General features: G+C 36.1%; 2 protein-coding genes across 15 annotated transcripts in view, besides 2 other annotated features; one reads left to right on the top strand and one right to left on the bottom strand.

Moving 5' to 3' along the window:
• SERPINI1 (serpin family I member 1) overlaps positions 1-13,413 on the bottom strand; it is an 89,849-nt gene extending 76,436 nt beyond the window's left edge. Inside the window, exon 1 of one of the 3 annotated variants that reach the window (NM_005025.5) lies at positions 12,999-13,413. The gene's annotated coding sequence lies outside the window, so the exon portion shown is untranslated. The remainder of the gene's footprint in view (positions 1-12,998) is intronic. The other 2 variants (NM_001122752.2, XM_017006618.3) reach the window with 2 other exon arrangements.
• Positions 13,991-14,430: an enhancer, noted in NCBI's record as "active region_20771". NCBI's record gives its function as "activates an Ori minimal core promoter by ATAC-STARR-seq in GM12878 lymphoblastoid cells {active_cell/tissue: GM12878}" and the evidence as "EXISTENCE:reporter gene assay evidence [ECO:0000049][PMID:35858748]".
• The window catches only part of PDCD10 (programmed cell death 10), a 51,595-nt gene continuing 47,524 nt past the window's right edge, over positions 14,242-18,312 (top strand). For 2 of the 12 annotated variants that reach the window (NM_001439202.1, XM_011512368.4), the window contains exons 1-2: positions 14,242-14,328; positions 14,789-14,920. The gene's annotated coding sequence lies outside the window, so the exon portion shown is untranslated. Of the gene's footprint in view, positions 14,703-14,783; positions 14,921-18,312 lie in introns of all 12 variants that reach the window. The other 10 variants (XM_005247087.6, XM_011512369.4, XM_047447375.1 and 7 more) reach the window with 7 other exon arrangements.
• Positions 14,481-14,610: a silencer, noted in NCBI's record as "silent region_14867". NCBI's record gives its function as "represses an Ori minimal core promoter by ATAC-STARR-seq in GM12878 lymphoblastoid cells {active_cell/tissue: GM12878}" and the evidence as "EXISTENCE:reporter gene assay evidence [ECO:0000049][PMID:35858748]".

Here is an 18,312-nt window from a genome sequence, read left to right as displayed (position 1 = left end):
TTTCAAAATAGTGATATATCAATATCTCAGTGAGTAATTTTTAATAACATGAAGCAAACTGAATGTACATAAATATAATCCTTGTAAAGATTTAAATGCTTTACGTTTTCAGCTCATTTACAACGGTTACATTTTGAATTATTACAATTATTCTTTCTTTTCCTGCTGCTTGACTCAAAACTTACTCCTCTTCATCAGTTTCTCCCGTATCCCAAACTAGTGGTAACAAACCCAAATGCCTACAGAGGCCAGGGAGGCTGGGAAAATGACCAAAAAGAGCTCAGTGTAAGACAACAGAGCATGGTACTCATTGTGGAGAACTGGTATTTAGATACAGTTAACACACACACACACACACACACACACACACACACACACACAGAGTAACACACTCTGTCTTACCTGTGTGCTGACTGCTGACCTATTTTGTAATCCCTGAGCTAATTCAGGGACAAAACTAGTTGATTTCATACTCAAATTCCCTCAAATCCGCATCATCAATGCTACCACCTCTGAGACGTTGTCATCTCCATTTCTTCCAAAGTCCATTTTTATCCCTTCCTTATTTTTAATGTTGCATGACTATTTACTTTTTCCCTCTTGAATCAAGATCTGGCACCAAAGGCCATGTTTACAGTTCTTTTTCAGACTGGTTTAGCGACGTTAGTTCTATGTGACTGACATAAATAGGCTCATGGCTATTCAGTCTTCACTATGCATTACACCTTTATCAATATAAATTACCTTCCTTGACCTTAAAGGTTTTGCCTCGAATTCTGCCTTGTCTTATACAAATATAGCTGCCTTACATTTTAAAACTTATTTTTGTCTATTTATTGCTTCATCATCCTTTTACTTTAAACTAGTATTCTTTTGCTTAACTTCCTGTCTTTTAAATATTAAATAGTTTGACTTTTTTTTTCTATCCAGTATGATGGATTTTGTGTTTCACTAATGGACTAAAGCTGTTGATAACTGCAATATATTTGTTTAGTATTTGTCATTCTATCTTAAAGTTCTAGTTTTTTCTTTTTGTTTTGATCACACTTTTTTGTTCCTAAGTATTATATTTTCTGAGTGAAAAATAAGATATAAAGAAGTATTAAGATAAGCTGATATTTCCGCCTCCTTTATTTTTATCTGCTTAAAGTTGCTTAGGCTTTTTCCTTGCCTTCATTTTGAAATTAAAAAAAAAACAACAAAACACAAAAAAACTTTAACAAAGTGTGGGTAGGTCTTAGTTTCTCTTCACTAATTTTTCATGGTGTTCTGTGAGGCCAAGTGATGTAGAATGAATTTTTTATTCTACATTACTTTTTATCTGCTAGTCTGGGTTCCTCATAATTCTATCTTCCATAACTCCTATTTTTAAAAGTTTTAAATATTATATTCACTTAAAAAGCAGGTTTATTAAAATATAGTTCGCATATCATAAAATGTACCCTTTTAAGGTGTATAATCTAGTGTTTTGTTGTTGTTGTTGTTGTTTTGAGACGTAGTCTCGCTCTGTCGCCCAGGCTGGAGTGCAGTGGCAAGATCTCGGCTCACTGCAAGTTCCGCCTCCCGGGTTCACGCCATTCTCCTGCCTCAGCCTCTCGAGTAGCTGGAACCACAGGCGCCCGCTGCCACGCCCAGCTAATTTTCTGTATTTTCAGTAGAAACAGAGTTTCACCGTGTTAGCCAGGATGGTTTCGATCTCCTGACCTCGTGATCCGCCTGCCTCGGCCTCCCAAAGTGCTGGGATTACAGGCTTGAGCCACCGTGCCCGGCCAATCTAGTGGTTTTTAAGAAGTTCATCAAGCTGTGCAGCCATCACCAAGATCTAATTTTAGACCATTTCATCACCCCAGAAAGAAACCCCATAACTATTTGCAGTCACTTCCTATTCCCCTTTGTCCCTTACTAGTAATCTACTTTGTGTCTTTATGGATTTGCCTATTCTAGATATTTCACATAAAATGTGGCCTGCTGTGTTTGGTGTTTTTGCTTAATATGCTTTCAAGGGCCATCCATGCTGTAGTATCAGTACCTCATTCCTTTTAATCGTCAAATAATATTCCACTGGATGGCTATACAACATTGTGTTTATCCATTCATTAACTGACAAACATTGGATTGTTTCCACTTTTATGAATAATGCTGTTATGAACACCTGTGGATGTTTTTGTGTAGACAAACATTTTTTCAACTCTTTTCGGCATATACCTACAGTGGAACTGCTGGGTCATAGGCTAACTCTGTGGCTAATATTTTGAAGAATGGCTAAACTGTTTTCCAAAGTGACAGCATCATTTACAATCTCACCAAAACCTTATGAGTTTCAAAAAATATTATGAGGGTTCAAATATTCCCACATCCTCACCAGTACTTTTTATTGTTACAGGTGTCTGTCTCTTTGACTTTAGTCATCCTAGTTTGTGTGAAGTAGTAGCTCACTGTGGTTTTGATTTGCATTTCCCTAGTGTCTAATAATGCTCTGTATTTATTCATATGCTTCCTGGATTTTTACATCTTGTTTGGAGGAAGAAATGTCTATTCATATCCTTTGCCTACTTTTAATTGCATTGTTTTAAATTGTTGAATTATAAGTTATTTATGAGCTCTGCATATAAGGTTCTTCTCAAATGCCTGATTTGCAAATATTTTCTCCCATTATATGGCTTATCTTTTCAACTCGTGTCCTTTGAAACACAAAAGTTTTAAGTTTGATGAAGTCCAATTTGTTTTTATTATGTCTCTTGTACTTTTGGTGTCATATCTAAGAAACTACTGTATAATGCATGGTAATAATTTACTCCTGTTTTAAGTTTTATAGTTATAGCTCTTACATTTAGGCCTGTAATCCATTTTAAGTAACACTTCTGTATATGGTGTGAGGTAGAGCCCAATTTTATTTTTTTCCATGTAGATATCCAGTTGCCTCGGTATCATGTGTTAAATATCCTTCCCCATTAAACTGTCTCAGCACCCTGTTGAAAATCAATTGACTGAAAATGTAAAGAATTATTTCCTGACTCTGAATTCTGTTCCACTGACACATACATCTGGGTTCCTTGCATTTCTATGTGAGTCCTAAGTTCAACTTGTCAATTGCTGCAAAAAAAGTGGCTGACATTTTGATTCATTAAATCTGCATATTAATTTGGAGAATACTGCCATCCCAACAATATTAAGTCTTTCAACTCATGAACATGAGATACTTTTCAATTTACTTAGGTCTTCTTTAATTTCTTTGTGATGTTTTGTACATCATTTGGTGTTTTTGTTGTAAAATTCTTGCATTTTTGTTAAATTCATTCCTTGGTATTTTATTTCCTTTTTATGCTGTTTTAAGTGGATCTTAAAATTTTGATTTTGGATATTCACTGTTAGTGTATAAAAATACAATTAGTTTCTTTATATCGATCTTCTATCCTGCAACCTTGGTGAACCTGTTTATTAGTTCTAATAGTTTTTCATGTGGATTCTTTAGGATTTTCTATATACAAGACCAATTCATATGTGAATAGAAATTTATTTCTTCCTTTCTAGTATGGGAGCTTTTTATTTTTCTTGCCTAATTTCCCTGGCTAGAACCTTCAATACAGTGTTGAATAAAAGTGTGAGAGCTGACATCCTTGACTTATTCCTGATCTTAAAGGGAAATATTCAGACTTTCACTACCAAATGTTAGCTATGTTTTTTAAAAAAATTATTTATGTTTTCTGTAGATGTACTTACCCCGTGGAGGAAGTTTCTTTTTACTCCTAGTTTGTTAAATGTTTTTATCATGAAAGTGTGTTTTGCCAAATATTTTTCTTCTTCAATTGAGATAATTATGTGTCTTTTATTTCATTGATATAGTATGTAATGCTAATTGATTTTCATGTTAAACCAACCTTTATTCCTGGAATAAAACTTACTGGATCATGGTATATAATTCTTTTGTTGCCAGATTTGGTTGCTAGTATTTTGTTGAGCATTTTTGAGTCTATATTTGAATTTTCTATTTCTTAAGTTGGTCTCAGTAGTTTGTGTCTTTCTAGCAATTTGTTCACTTCATCTAGGTTATCTAATCTTTTGCCATACAATTGTTCATAGTGTTCTCCAACAATACTTTTATTTATGTAAGATTGGTAGTGATGTCTCCTCTTTACTATATTAGGTTCCCCTACCCTTAAATATAATTTTCTTCTAAATTCTGAGAAAGTATCTTAACTTATAAAAAACTGACTGGCTTGGCACCCTTCAATACTCAATAAGCTATTCAGTTGATATATATATATTTATATATATATATAACTATAGTTATATATAATATATATATTATATATATAACTATATTTATATATTATATATATATATAACCATAGTTATATATAATATATATTTAATATATAAATATAGTTATATATAATATATATATTTATATATTTATATATATTTTATATATATTTATATATGTTTATATATATATTTATATATATATTTTTATATTTATATATATTTATATATAAATATAAAATATTTAAATATAGTTATATATATAAAAAATAACAATATAGTTAAAATATTAACTATATTTTAAAGTGTAGCATTACTTTTTCCATACACTTAGGTCATTTGGCTCTTAATCTTACTGTCCTAGTACAATATTCTGTGCAACTCTTCTAAATTTCTCACAATTAGATGATACCCTTCCTAGTGTCCTGAACATTATTTTAGCAGTTTGAAGAGGAGTTAAAATGAGAGCTTCAAATCCCTATTTGAGTAAAAAAAGTTATAGTTCACTTACAAAATAAATTATCATAAAATAAAACCTAACGTTTAATAAAATAACATTTAATGAGCATTTACTACACGCCAGTTACTGTGTAATGCACTCTGTGTAAAATCTCATTATGTCAACATAAACAACCTTTGAGTAAAGTTACATATCACAAAACCAAAGTTTAGAGAGATTAAGTAACATACTGAATATCATATAGCTAATGATTATGGAACAAAAATTTGAACTCAGTTTTGTCTGACTGTAGAGCTGACATTCTTAACCAGTGTTTGACAAATTTTTTTAAAAGGGCCAGATAGGAAATACTTTAGTCTTGTGGTTCACGTCTTCATTGCAATGACTCAACTCTGCTGTTGTACCGAGAAGGCAGCCTTAATAAGATGTAAATGAATGGGCATGGTTGTGTTACAATAAAACTTTATTTATAAAACAAGGTAGTGTGACTGTAGGCCCTAGCTTGCCATCCCCTGCAATTAACCAACATACCAGCTGCCCTAATTCTTCCTTAAAGCCTTTCCTGATTACCACATAGACCAATTTCTTCTCCTTCTGGCTTTCTACAATAGTAACTGCTGTAATATCATAGCCTTAAGTCATATATCCTTGTTGTAATGTAAATGTGTCTTCCAATGCCTTCTTTTATTAACTATATTGACAAAAGATTATGCCAGACAGTAATTTTATATATTTTGTTATATTCCCCTATAGAATCCAAACTCACACTAGAGATTGTTTGTAGAAGAGTTTAGAAATTTACACGTGACTCTTATCTGGAAAGCTTTATCCCGATAAAGCCATTCACCTAGGGTAACATGATAGAAATGTAAAAATCAGGCAGTAAAAATGTTGATATAGAAATGCAAAGACAACTACAATTTTGCCAAGTCAGTATCTTTGATTATGAGAGTTTTATAGGCAGAGAAAAAAATTAATGTACTTATTTACATTTTCTCAATTTCAATTTTCTTCTCAGACTTTCCTACCTCAAGGAATCATAATTCACCAAAACCATGAGTATCAAAGTGTCACTGTATGAATGAGTCATAATTTAGGTAATAATCACTCTATAGATGTTCATATTTTTCACATTTTTGAAATGGATAATAACACCATTTTCTAGGGTAATAAATTTTTAGAGTAGGCTCTCCTCTAGGGAATAATGGCTTATTTTGCTTTTTCAGGCAGCTAAGAAAATCTTCATAAAAGAAATCCTAATACTCAATTTTTCTTGTATTTGTATTATACCCATATTTTTTAATGCAGTCTATATGGAGAGATTACTGAATATTTTTAGATTTAAAGCAGATTTATTATAGAACCATCAAGTTTTACGAAAAGTGTTTGTAATGCAAAGTATAGGAAAAATATTAGATGCAATATTAGCTAGATGGCCTTTTAACTGGAGATACCATCAGTTTCTGAGGAATGCCTTTGCTCAGGGACTTAAAATTTGGAAATCACTGAAGTGAACACTTGGTATGGGAAGGTTAGAGTTGCTAAACTTCTACACACACACACACACACACACACACACACACACACACACAAAACGGCACAAAATTGATAACAATGAGAAGAAATAAAATTTAAAATAAACATGGTTTTAGTCATCAGACTATGGCTGAAACTACTGACAGTTATCCAAAAGTCATTCTCAAACCTTTGTTCCCCTGCTCCATCTACCACAGAAGCCAAAAGTCTTTGATATCTCCACTTCCATTAAAGCTAGGGCAGCCATATGACATGAGCCAGTTAGTGCACAGTGGACATCTGCCGGGGATCTTTGGGAAAGCTTTTATTTCCTGATTAAAAGAGAAAGACTCAACAGGAACAACTGTTTCTCATTCTTCCTTCTTTGAATGACAGTGTGATATCTGGATCAACAGAGGCATCTGTCTTACAGCAAGCACAAGAGAAATCACAAGGACAAAATTCTGACAACATCGAGCCTGTAAACAAAAAGCAAACAACTACTCTCCTCAGACTTCTTGTTCTGGAAAAATAAATCCCTATTGTTTTATCTCATTGTGCATAAAACTTGTAGCTGAAAGCGTTTCTAGTTGATCTGTACTTTACAATTATTTTTTAAATTGTTAATCACTTTTGGGCCATGCAATGTGAGGAAAAATTTGCTTTTAAGATAATCCTGGATAAGATTTCTTTCTCTCCTTTTCAAAATGTTCAATTTTATATTACTAATTATTAATTAAATCTGCTATTATATTAACAAATAGCTATTATTTACACCTTTAAAGTTATTGGCATTTTAAATTTTTTTCCTTATTTATTTTTTAAATTTTAAGGCTTTTTCTTCTTATCTAGATAACTAGTTATTTGCATTTTTAAAAGAACATATCAGAAACTCTGAAATACAAAAACAAACTTTGTTGCCTTAGATTTAGTTAATATACCTTGTGCACAAAATCTCATAATATAATTTTTTTAAAAGTTTCGTAATTTACCAAAGCCAAAAATTATTCTATGACATTACTGGTATTATATAATTTCATCTGGTATTGTATGTCAAAGGACATAAGATATAAGATACTATTTAACCTGCCACAGACATTGAATAAGGGATTTAACATCTGTAAGCAATTTAGGAGACTAGGTACAGGTTTCTTAACTGGAAGGTTGAATATATCTCAAAAACACTAATTGCTTCAATGATTCTAAATTGCTTCGTGAAGTACACAACAATTAAATGCTCCAATAACTGATTTAATTCAAGTAAAGGCAAAAATTATACACCACAATATGGTATCTCTAGCATACTACTAACGGGTATAAAAACAATAAAATTAGCTAGCTCTTCAAGTTAGAGCTGGTTAAAAGACCTCAAAGCAACAAAATCTAGGTTATCAAGAAAATGACAGAAGCAATCCAATGTGGGTAAAATATCAGAAATGTTTTAGTGGGCTCTTTGGGGTCTGTTCAAGAAAAGCCAAGATGCTAGGAGTGGACTACAAGTTGATAGGTACTCATTGAATTGCCTGGCTGTGCTATAGAAATCACTGTGTGACATTTGAGCTACTCTTACTGGGAATCCTGGTGTGAGATATACCTGGGAAAAACAATACAGTTTAACAAAATAAGGTTATTAAATGAAAAACATTTCATCTGTTTTCCTTCCCACATTAAGAGCTGTGAGGAGCTCAGAAGTCTCCTTTCCCAGGCAGAACCAGAAGGGGGCCTCAAAGCAGTGGCTGAAACTGAAGGTACCCTGTAAGCTTCCACCACCAAGCTATACACAGAAGACCAACACTGAGCACTGTCAATGCCAAGTCTCAAAACTCATTCGTTCTTCATGATGGCTCAGAGATGACAAATACCTGTATAATTCAGGTACAATGTAAGCTTTACTAAGGTCTCTCAATGCAGCCTTTTCACTGAAAATGGAACATTTACAGCCAGTTAAACTTTAGTTAAGGCCTCATATTACATTCATCTATTTATTTTTCTCTATTTGTTAAGAAAAAAGTAATGGAAATCGTGTAGGGGAGGGGAGGTATTACATAAAAGCACATCTTTAAATCAGCAGAGTTCTAGAGGCAAGGAGAGAAAAGGACCACATAAACCCCAAATAGCATCTAATGAATAAATTCATGTCTGAAGCATGCGCCCATGCACGCACACACACACGCACACAAGCGCGCGCGCAAGTTTGCAGTTAATAACAAAATTTGTTCTACTCATTTAGAAATCCAACAAGATAGCAATATTTATATTTAGCTGTAATATAAGCAACCGTTGTTGGCAGAGGGCTGAATTTGGTACTAACACAGATGTCTAAGAAAAAGTCATTTTTCTAGTTGTATTTGTTTGCAAAATGATGTTTCATTATAGATTACCAAATAGTTATCCAAATTGTTACTACTTACCAAGTATGAACTATGTAAAAGGATTCTCAAAATGAATACAAACGTCAATGAAACTCAGAGTTAGCTCTAAAGATACTAAGTATCTGGTGAGAAAGATAGTATGAACTAAGTTTACTCTACACAAGGCACAGTGCTAATCATTAAGAATAATATCAGCAAGGCATGGTGGTTCACACCTGTAATCCCAATTCTTTGGGAGACCAAGGTGAGAGAATTGTTTGAGGTCAGGAGTTTGGACCAACCTGGGCAACACAGTGAGACCCTTATCTCTATAAAAAGTTAAAATTAGCTGAGCATGGTGGTTCTTGCCTGTAGTCTTAGCTACTGGGGAGTCTGCGGTGTGAGGAGTGCTTGAGCCCAGGAGTTCAAGGTTACAGTGAACTATGATCAGGTCACTGCATTCCAGCCTGGGCGACAGAGTCAGACCCTGTCTCAGAAAAAAAAAAAGGCGGCAAAAAAAAAAAGAAAAAGGCAGGTTAATTATCAGTTCTAAGCAAGCCAATTTATATAAATCAACATGAAGGTAAAAGTAAACAGAAGATAGTTAAATATGTGCTACAATTAATTTTACTACTAAAAAACTATATACAATTAACTAGAATTGTATAGGTCTTATCATAATGAAGTAAAAATTACATTAGATTCTTAATTCTAACACCAATCAGATTAATTTGTTTCTAGGTCAAATGCAAAAAACAACTAATGACCAACTCCACACATGCTTAAACAAAATCAGTCTATTTTTTTTTTGGAAGAAATAATTAGAAAAACAGAAGAGCAAATTCAGTTTTTATAGAATGAAATATGGTTTCTACAGATAAGCTTCAACAAAGGTATAACTCCAGGGCCTTGAGGTTAAATGGTGGTTGAGCCCTGGGTTTTTCTGTCTGTGAAATTAAGACCTTAAGTGCCACCAGTTGCAGACTCCTTTACCCTCGCCTATATATCCTATCTCTGAGATGAATTTAGAAATGCTGGCACTCAAATCTGTAATGTATTTGCAGCGCACACAGTGTGAATCCAATTGTGCTCAATCAACACTTTTGCAAAGGCAAACTAGCATAAAGACATTCTCAGAAGGACTAATGTGTAAGCAATCATTCTGTGAGGTCAGCTGACTCTGTCTATCAAAGCGCAAACTGTCTCAATGTGTGCATTACAGAAGTATTGTCCAATGTCCAATGGTTCTAATTCAGTAACTGGTTACTCAATTTCTTTATGCTGAATATGACATAAAGTGCTCAGGACTAACAGGAGATAGAAAAGAAGTACATGGTCTCTAAGAGTTAATAACGTAGTTACTTAAAACACACCTTCCAAATTTTAAAGACTAAATTCTTACAGGTTTAAGATTTAAAAAAAAAAAAAAAAAAGAAACAACAAAAAAATCTCTCCCTTATTTGTGTACGTTAATTCTGATCCCAAAAGCAGTGTTTAACCTTTGGAATTTGCTTAATTAAATAAATGGGCTCTTGCTCATCTTAGTGTCTGGTTCAAGTACCTTTATTATTTTAAAGGGGCAAAACATCAGTTTAGGTATTTACTTTTTGATATTTTGTCCAAATAATGTTTCACTTAGAAGTTAGTGTATACAGGTAGGATTTTTATGGTTAATAATCCATGAATATTCAAAATCTAATGAATACCAGTTTGATTCCAGTTAAAATGGCAATTGACTGGAATCAGACTGGTATTCATTAGATTTTGAATATTTATGGGTTATAAAAGCATAAAAAAGGAAGGTTAATCATCCAAAATTTATTCCAGTAAAAATTGCCATTTTAACTGGAATCAGACTGGTATTCATTGGATTTTGAATATTCAATTTTACTTAGAAAAGTAATGTATCCCAGTATGAATACAGGCCTCTACAAATTAATGACTGGGGGAGAAAAGGTCATGGAATCATGGATTATAGGAATTTAACAAAAAATATAAAATCTTTTTTCTCTTTTGCTAAAGGTGTGTTTCTCAAGTAGTTTTCTTTATATCTATTCCCCTGTATCCTTCTTTACCAAAACCATTTGATCTTGAACCTTTAAGTCTTGCTCTTTTGTGCTGCATGCATCAGTGAATCTTCCTGTTAAAAAGAAATCCATGCTAACTTATTTTTACTCAAAAGGCTTAGAATCAGAACTCTAAAGAAAAGACCAAAGGATATGGTAATTTGAAATTAACCAAGGTTTTTGGCTAAAGAACAATCATCCCCAGAGCAATTTCCATTCAAGAGAGACATTCTGCACTCTGTTGCTTTTCCTTTCTCATCATACATATTCACTGATAGCCATACACAAATAGTAAAATTAAAGAGCAAAATAAGTAATATGCTTATAACATGGGTAGCATTTTACACAGAATTATAAACTGCCATATAACGAACGTTTTCAACACCAATCAAGAAAAATCTTCAGATTACCTGAGATTGAATGTGAATATTAACTAACATGAATCAAGAGTGCAAGGTAAAAAATAAATGCCATATATTTCCAATGATATTCTCTCATATAAAAACATGGTCTTTTTTCAAATGATATTGAAACCCAATCTCTTTTACTGACACAGTAAAAAGGATCCAAATCTTGGAAACAGGTGAAAAAAATCAGTACTTTAATACCACAAACTCATTCATTCCTAATCAGATTCTATCCTTTACCGTGTCTCAGAGCAGAAGACCTATAAAGAGCTGAGATTCAAAGTATATCTTAATTTCAACTGTTTAGATATTTATCTTCTATCCATTTGCTTGCTTATTAACTGTTTCCCAATAAAACTCTTTCAAACAGATCTTTTAATAAAGGCTCGGAAAGAATTTCATTGGTAGTATTATAATTATTACATAGGGGAAATAACCCAGCGACAGCAATTATTCAGTTTTACAAAATGAATTAGTAGTAGGGTCTGAGAAAGAATCTAAGACTGATTCAAGACAATCCACTTAATCACAAATAACAAGGGCAAACACAGTCTTTTCCATGTGTCACCCTAATACCCACTTTTTTTTTTACCCCCAAAATCATTTTCACAGGGCCATATCAGCTATGTGAATTAATAGATTCTCCAGTGCTGTAGCAAAGATAAAACCTGATCCTTATAGTGGTTAAGTTTAGCAGCTACTGTTGCTTTTTCTTTCTTCTAAGCTCTTTGCTGTTTTTGATACTTAGCTGATTTGCTTAGGGGTAATTAAAAAGCAGCTGTTTTTCTATGATCTATCTGTCTATATATTTCTATGGTATGTGAGAGTGTGGGAGGGAAGAGTATACACACTGAAAAGTCACTTAGGCTTATCGGTAGTAGCACTCAGTAGGACTGAACTTTAATCTGGGAAGAGAATTCATTTGAGCCATTTCTTTTCAAAAAGAAATTTGGGATGCATTACAAAAATAAAATTTAAAATCCCGAGAACTCAGGAAAGCATAGAAATAGGAGAAAACAAGACAATTACTCCATTTTATTGACCCTGGTTATTAAAAAAAAACATAAAGTATTGAGACAGACTCTGAAATATGCAACTGTCACAATGAAAGCATTTCAGAGCAAAATTTGCTGCAATATGCTACTATGATTAAAAGCCATGTAATCTGGGAACCTCTGTAACAAAATGAAAATGAACTAGGAAAATAGCTTCTTACTACTTCTCTAAAAATAAAAGGCTGTAATTTTGTCATAATTACACAAAGGTAGGTGAGACTTTCATCTTTACCCAGCATTACAACTTATTTCCATCCATAGGTATTACAATTAACGTTGCTTTGAATGCACATATAGTTTAATACCGAGAATAAACTATTATTTTATGACACTACATGTGTTTTAAACTGAACCCACTATCATAACACATATTAAGGGTAGTCCTTCAGCACATACTCTCTACCCAGAGAAAAGATTCCCACACAGCTTTCCATGTACTCGTTTTTAAAATGTACACATATTATCGGACACAAATGAGAAACTAACGAGCAGCAGTGAGGTACACCATATGTTTCCATTGTAGGCTGAATCCAGGTCTTTGTTCCAATATTCCAGAGCCACTGGGAAGAAAGCTAACTATCCATTCATTAAAATTCATTTTTACATTATTGCTGGCAAAAGTTATACTTTTGATAGATTAAGTCAGAGCCCATCCTATCCTGACTATTCCTGCCTGCACTTGCTTCTTTAATACGGATTTCTTGCAATTCTAGGAAACTGCAAAATAACCACCCTGGATAACAGGTCGGTAGCAGGACAATCTGATAAACCAACGTAAAGGGTAGACACTGAAGAAGAATGCAAAGTTATTTTCCTAGTGAAATAGTTCAGAAGTTATTCTATATCAATAGCAAAATTTTTGCTTTTTATAGGCTACGCACCTATAACATCCACCAGATAACATCCACCTCGTCCTCAATTAGCAGGATTTTTCTCAATCTTCAGATCTCCCAGAACAGTTTTACTGGTGCAACTCAAACCAAAAACACTAACCACGCCCTTTATACCCAGAGTCAAGCTTCCTTTTGCTTTTTTGCCCTTAAAGTCGAAAAATGTAAATCTTTCACCCGAGAGGTTTTGCACCGGTTTCCTAACCCAACGCGGACTCTTTTAGCTGTGTCTTGATGTAATTCCTATTGGAAGACGTTTTCTCCAGGGCAGTGCAGACGCCCCGAAGAAGGACCCACGCTTACCTCCCACACACCTGCAACCCCTGACGGGATGCTGGAGCTTGTGCTCGGCGGACTGTGCTCCGCTCCGCTCTCGTTCCTGCTTTCGTCTCTCCCGGGAAACTACAGTCCAGACTGCGCCTCTGGCTTCTACAGGGACCCAAGCTCCGCCTCTCCCTCCTCTAGTTGGCGAATTTGGCAGCTGTTGCTCCTCCCCCTGCTGTTTCTGCAGCTGCCCGGACCGGAGGCAGCGGAAAGCAGCTGCCCTGGTACCTTTCCGCTCCCTGCACTTCTGCAGCTGCTCTGCCACTTCCACTCCCGTGGGGGTCCCTCTCCCCTCCTCTGTGGCTCACACCTGGAGCGGCCTCCTGCCCCACCCAGGCGTCTCTGCTGGGAGCCCCGGCTCAGCCTATCCTTCCCCGACCTGTGTGTCCGGATGCCCGGTGTGCCTGGGGCTTAGCTGCTCTCAGGGAAGCTGCCCCTCTGCCCAGTGCAAGTCCCCACACCAAGCCCTCCCTTCACCTGGGCGATTTCCCCGAGGCTTCCTCTCCACCCACACGGCATACTCAGCCCGACAGCCCCAGGATCCCCACCACAGGCCCCTCACCCCCTTCCTTCCTCTGCTCTGTCAGCCCGCCCCCTCAATGGGTGAGGCGCCTGCGGGGCCTACTCCGCACCCTGATTGGCGCAGGTGAGGGCTTGCCCCGCCCTTCCTCTCCTTTCCGTGCACCATCTCTCTTCATCTCACCTCCTCCCGCAAAGGCAGGGAATTCTCCTACTATTGGCTAGAAGTGTCACCACCCATCGCCTCAGGATCCCCCGCATGGCCTGCCGGGAAGTGTAGTCTTCCGATTGCAGGAATTGCGGACAACGCCGGCGAGCGGGACTACGAGTCCCCATAAGCCTCTGCACGACTCCGGCTGGGCAGGATTCCGGACAACGCCTGGTTCCTCTTGGGTCCTTCCGGCGTCGCCGGAGTGAATTGATCCGGGAGTTGAAGAGGGCTGCAAGGTGGGAAGTGAAGTCAGTGCCTCAGTTGCTGGTAAGGTGTAGCTGTTCTGTCCCAGTCCCCGTAGCTCTGCACCGAGCAGAAGAGGTCTAGGGTCACGCAGGGGCCATGGCTGAGGCACTTGGGCTTGGTTCTGGCAGGCGGAGCGGACGGGGCTGAGAGCGGGGCCCTACGGGCGTAAGCGAGGTTACCCTACGCGAGTGGCGTAAAGCGGGTTTGTAAATGCCGCCTGCCGGCTTGGGCCCGAACGCCTCCAGGAAGTCTCCTCTAGGTGGGGGCGGGAGGGGAAGGGCGAGGTTGGCCCCTGGTGCCCCGGGAGAGGGGACAGGGCGGATGTGCCTGGGGTGGGGTCCTTTGAAGGTGTGGCTTCGGACCGAGAGGTGAGGCTGCTGTTTTCCCCCTGCTTTGTAAGTAAGAGAAAAGGGAGGAGGAAGGAAAGGGTGCTTGGGAGTCGGCTCTTGGGGGTGACTCGGGTTATGCCCTTTGAGGGAAGAGGAGCACTGGAAGAAGGAAGAGACAAATGTTGGGGTCTACGGATTCAGTTCCAGTTTAATGATGTGGCCCTCTAAGGAGATAATTTTGCCTTAAACAGAAAGACTTGACCCTCTTAGGTGTCATACCTAAGGTATGTTTTTACTCCTTTACTGCTTTCAGAGCGCTTTCATTTTGGGATGCTGATGAGGAAACCGAGGGATTATATGACGTGCCCAAGGTCACACACGTAGGGACAGACTTTCTGAATCTAGTTCGGTTCGAGTCCAGCTTTAGAGTAGGGACGTTGGTTGTGCTTTTTGAAAAGGGTGGAGGAAGTTACAAAGTAAATGTATTTTATATAGTATATCTAAGAAGCCATTGTGAGATAAAAAGTTGTTTCTTGAACCGGAGTGAAATTCCTCAATAAAGGAAAGATCCTTTTGGAAAAAATAAAAATGGCCAGTTTCAACTTTTACAGATTTTTCCCCTTTTTTTAGGGGTGTATTAAATGATAGACTCTACTCTCACAGTTCATTTTTACGGGTAGGTAATAGGATGGGAGAACAACAGTTAAACAATATATCCCATCCTTAGAAGAATATTCTTTTCTTTTTCTACCTTAGGACTGTTTTTACTCTCATTTTGTAAAACTGATAATAGTGGGATTGGAATTCTTTCACAAAACTACACTTTTTTCAAATAATGTAGCGTTAGGAGAGTTTAGTGTGCCCATTACTAGAAAAGAAGGTATTTTGCATTTCTTGGAGGTAACATCGTCTTTTTTGAGACTTTACTTTTCCCCCATTTTCTTGACTCTGGGCTGTATTTGTGTGTGTGTCTGCAAATAATAAAATTGGGCTCTTGCATATTTTTATTTTTCTTAGCATCAACTGTGACTTTCAATTCATTCTTACTTTACATTGAAGAATGAAAAAACAGTACACGTATAGTTCATATCTTGCAGAAAGTAGTGCCTTTATGCAAGTCTTATCCTCTATAATGATTATGACCAGTTATAGCTCATGACTATTATTATTGGATAAGTTTTTAATAGAATTGTTAGAGTATGTTCATTGATGGCAGAATTTATTTGTGATAACTTTATATCCATACAGGTTAGCATGTAATAAATCATGGCTTACTCTTAACATGTAATAAATCATAGCTTACTGTTTTATATATAAGTTGATCATCAGACTATGCTGAATTTTGAATGTACTCTGCAGTTACTATATTATCAACAATGTGCTTCACTTTTTAATGGAAAAACATTTTTTCGGAACAGAGGTATTATCTTCCCTGATGGTTGAAATTAAGATGGTCTGGAAATTAATACGATTTTTAAAATAGAAAAAGTATGATACTATAGAATGAAGTAAAATCAGGAATAATGTACCATAAGTAATGTAGTACACAGACAAGGAAGACCCAGTTAAACAAATGGAAAATTATGTGGTGATAACTGACTTTGTGCTGGATTAAGAAAGGTGCAGTGATGTAAGTAGACCGTAAACTGAACATGAGTCAGTGATGGTAAAGCAAGAATATTAATCTGTTTTCTAGATGACAATGTAGGTATTTGCCTTTTGTTGAAGGAGGTATGAAATAAGTTCTAACCTTTGGCATGTAACTCTGTCATTATGGAAAGAGCTTTTGAACTATGAGGAAATTTTGGAAATTAGTTAATGTAATGCATTTGTTCAGTGTGTTTTAGATTTTGTTCTTGGTTCATTTCTGCCACTACTCTTTATCTCTGAGGCCAATTATAGTTTTGATATTTCTTCTATTCGGATGGTGGATTAATGTTTGTATTGTTGTTATCATCTTTCAGTCACATGCTGCGGTACTGTTGTCACTTTAGATCTCTGCACGTTGGATAATTAGGAGTTCACAGAGTTATGTGTACACGTGGTTTGCAGCTCACCAGTGTCTGCATTTCTTCTCATTTTGAACTTTGCAGGAGCCTTATGTCAGCTTTTGGACATTATTTCTTAGAGGACTTGGGATGTCTTCCGTATATTATACATCTGTCTGTTTCTCTTAAGGATGTAAGGTCTGTAAGAATAGGGGCTGTTTATTATTGTAGTCTGAGTAGGTAAGATAATATTTACAAAGAGAATGAAGAGGCTCAAGTTGGTTAAGTGACTTGTAACTGGTGGGAGTAAGACAAAATCGAGATCTTCTGACTACAGATCTTTAATATTTTGGAGTAAAGACTTAGTTCCCTTAGATTATTTACATGAGAAGAAGACTTAACGTGACTTAAATATTCAAATACTATTACCTTCTTACTCTGTTTAACACTAAAAATTTATCTCTTCTCCTATCCAGCTCTCCGTCCTTATCTCCAGCCTTTCTCATTTACCATGCCTTTCAGTTACTACATACATAAGCTGCTTCCTGACTTGGTGGCCTTTACATATTCCGTCTCACTCCTTGGACTGTTCCCCTCACGCCTACCTAAATGTGGCCACCTGGTAGTCAGTTTTCACGTCTCAATTTAAATATCGTTCGTCAGGGGAGCCTTGCCCGCCTTCCCAAAATCAGAATAGGTTTCCGCCATGTATTCACCATACTCTGTACTCCTTTGTGGCATCATCATAATAGAAACTTAATTATTTCTGTATTTATTTGACAAATACTGTCTCCTCACTGGACTATAAGCTCCCTGAGCAGGGCCCTCTCATTTGTCATGTTTTACCCCACTACTTACGCAGTACCTGGCACATTGTAAGGGTTCAGTAAATATTTGCTGAATGAATGAAGGAGTGTATTCATGCACAGTGCTTCCAGCACTTCTCTGGGGACAGAAATAGAGAAATGAATAAAGCGGATATGCTTTCTGGATTGAAGTATATAAGAACTTTCAAATGAGCCATAATGCTTAGGCAATTTAGGTTATATGTAAAGGAGTCATTGACAGAATTTTAATATAAATTGTGGAAAAATGTTTGTTCTTTTTGGAGGTCTCTGAAATCAGGATTAATTTTCTAAGTGGAAATGATAAAGGAATCACTTTCATTTGCCGCAGAATTGCTGTGTAACACAGCATTTTAGAGACTTATCACTGTCCTGCTTTTTGCAAGCGATATTCATTATAACAAAATATAGACATGGAAGAAACTTCTAATGGACTCTTCTTCCCTAATGTTGTCTCGTTTTGCCCTAAAAACCTTTATTTCCTCTAGGTAGTAGTATTAATACTGTTTTATAGCTGAAGACATCAAGAAAATAAGTAAATTTACTTATTAAACTAAAAAAAGTTTAATTAAATTGCTAGAGTTTCCAGAACGTTGGTACTGGAACCATGGTTAGAATCTGGATCTATCTCCGTATTCTAGAATCCATAATTTTTTCTTTTTCTTTGCTTTTTTGTTTTGTTTCTTGCTTTTTAACCTTGCTATCTTCCTATGAATTATACCTTTAATATCACTTGATTTAGACAAGGTGGCTTTGTAAAATTGAGTAGTTTTTGTTTCAAAGGAACTTATATTTTGGGTTTCCTGAAAATTTTTCTAATACTTTTCTAATCTTATTTGCTTT

Source organism: Homo sapiens, chromosome 3 (genome assembly GCF_000001405.40).
Source record: "Homo sapiens chromosome 3, GRCh38.p14 Primary Assembly".
NCBI classification, from domain to species: Eukaryota; Metazoa; Chordata; class Mammalia; order Primates; family Hominidae; genus Homo; species Homo sapiens.
The sequence above is the reverse complement of the archived record's forward strand: the minus strand, read 5'-3'. Positions and strand labels throughout refer to the sequence as shown.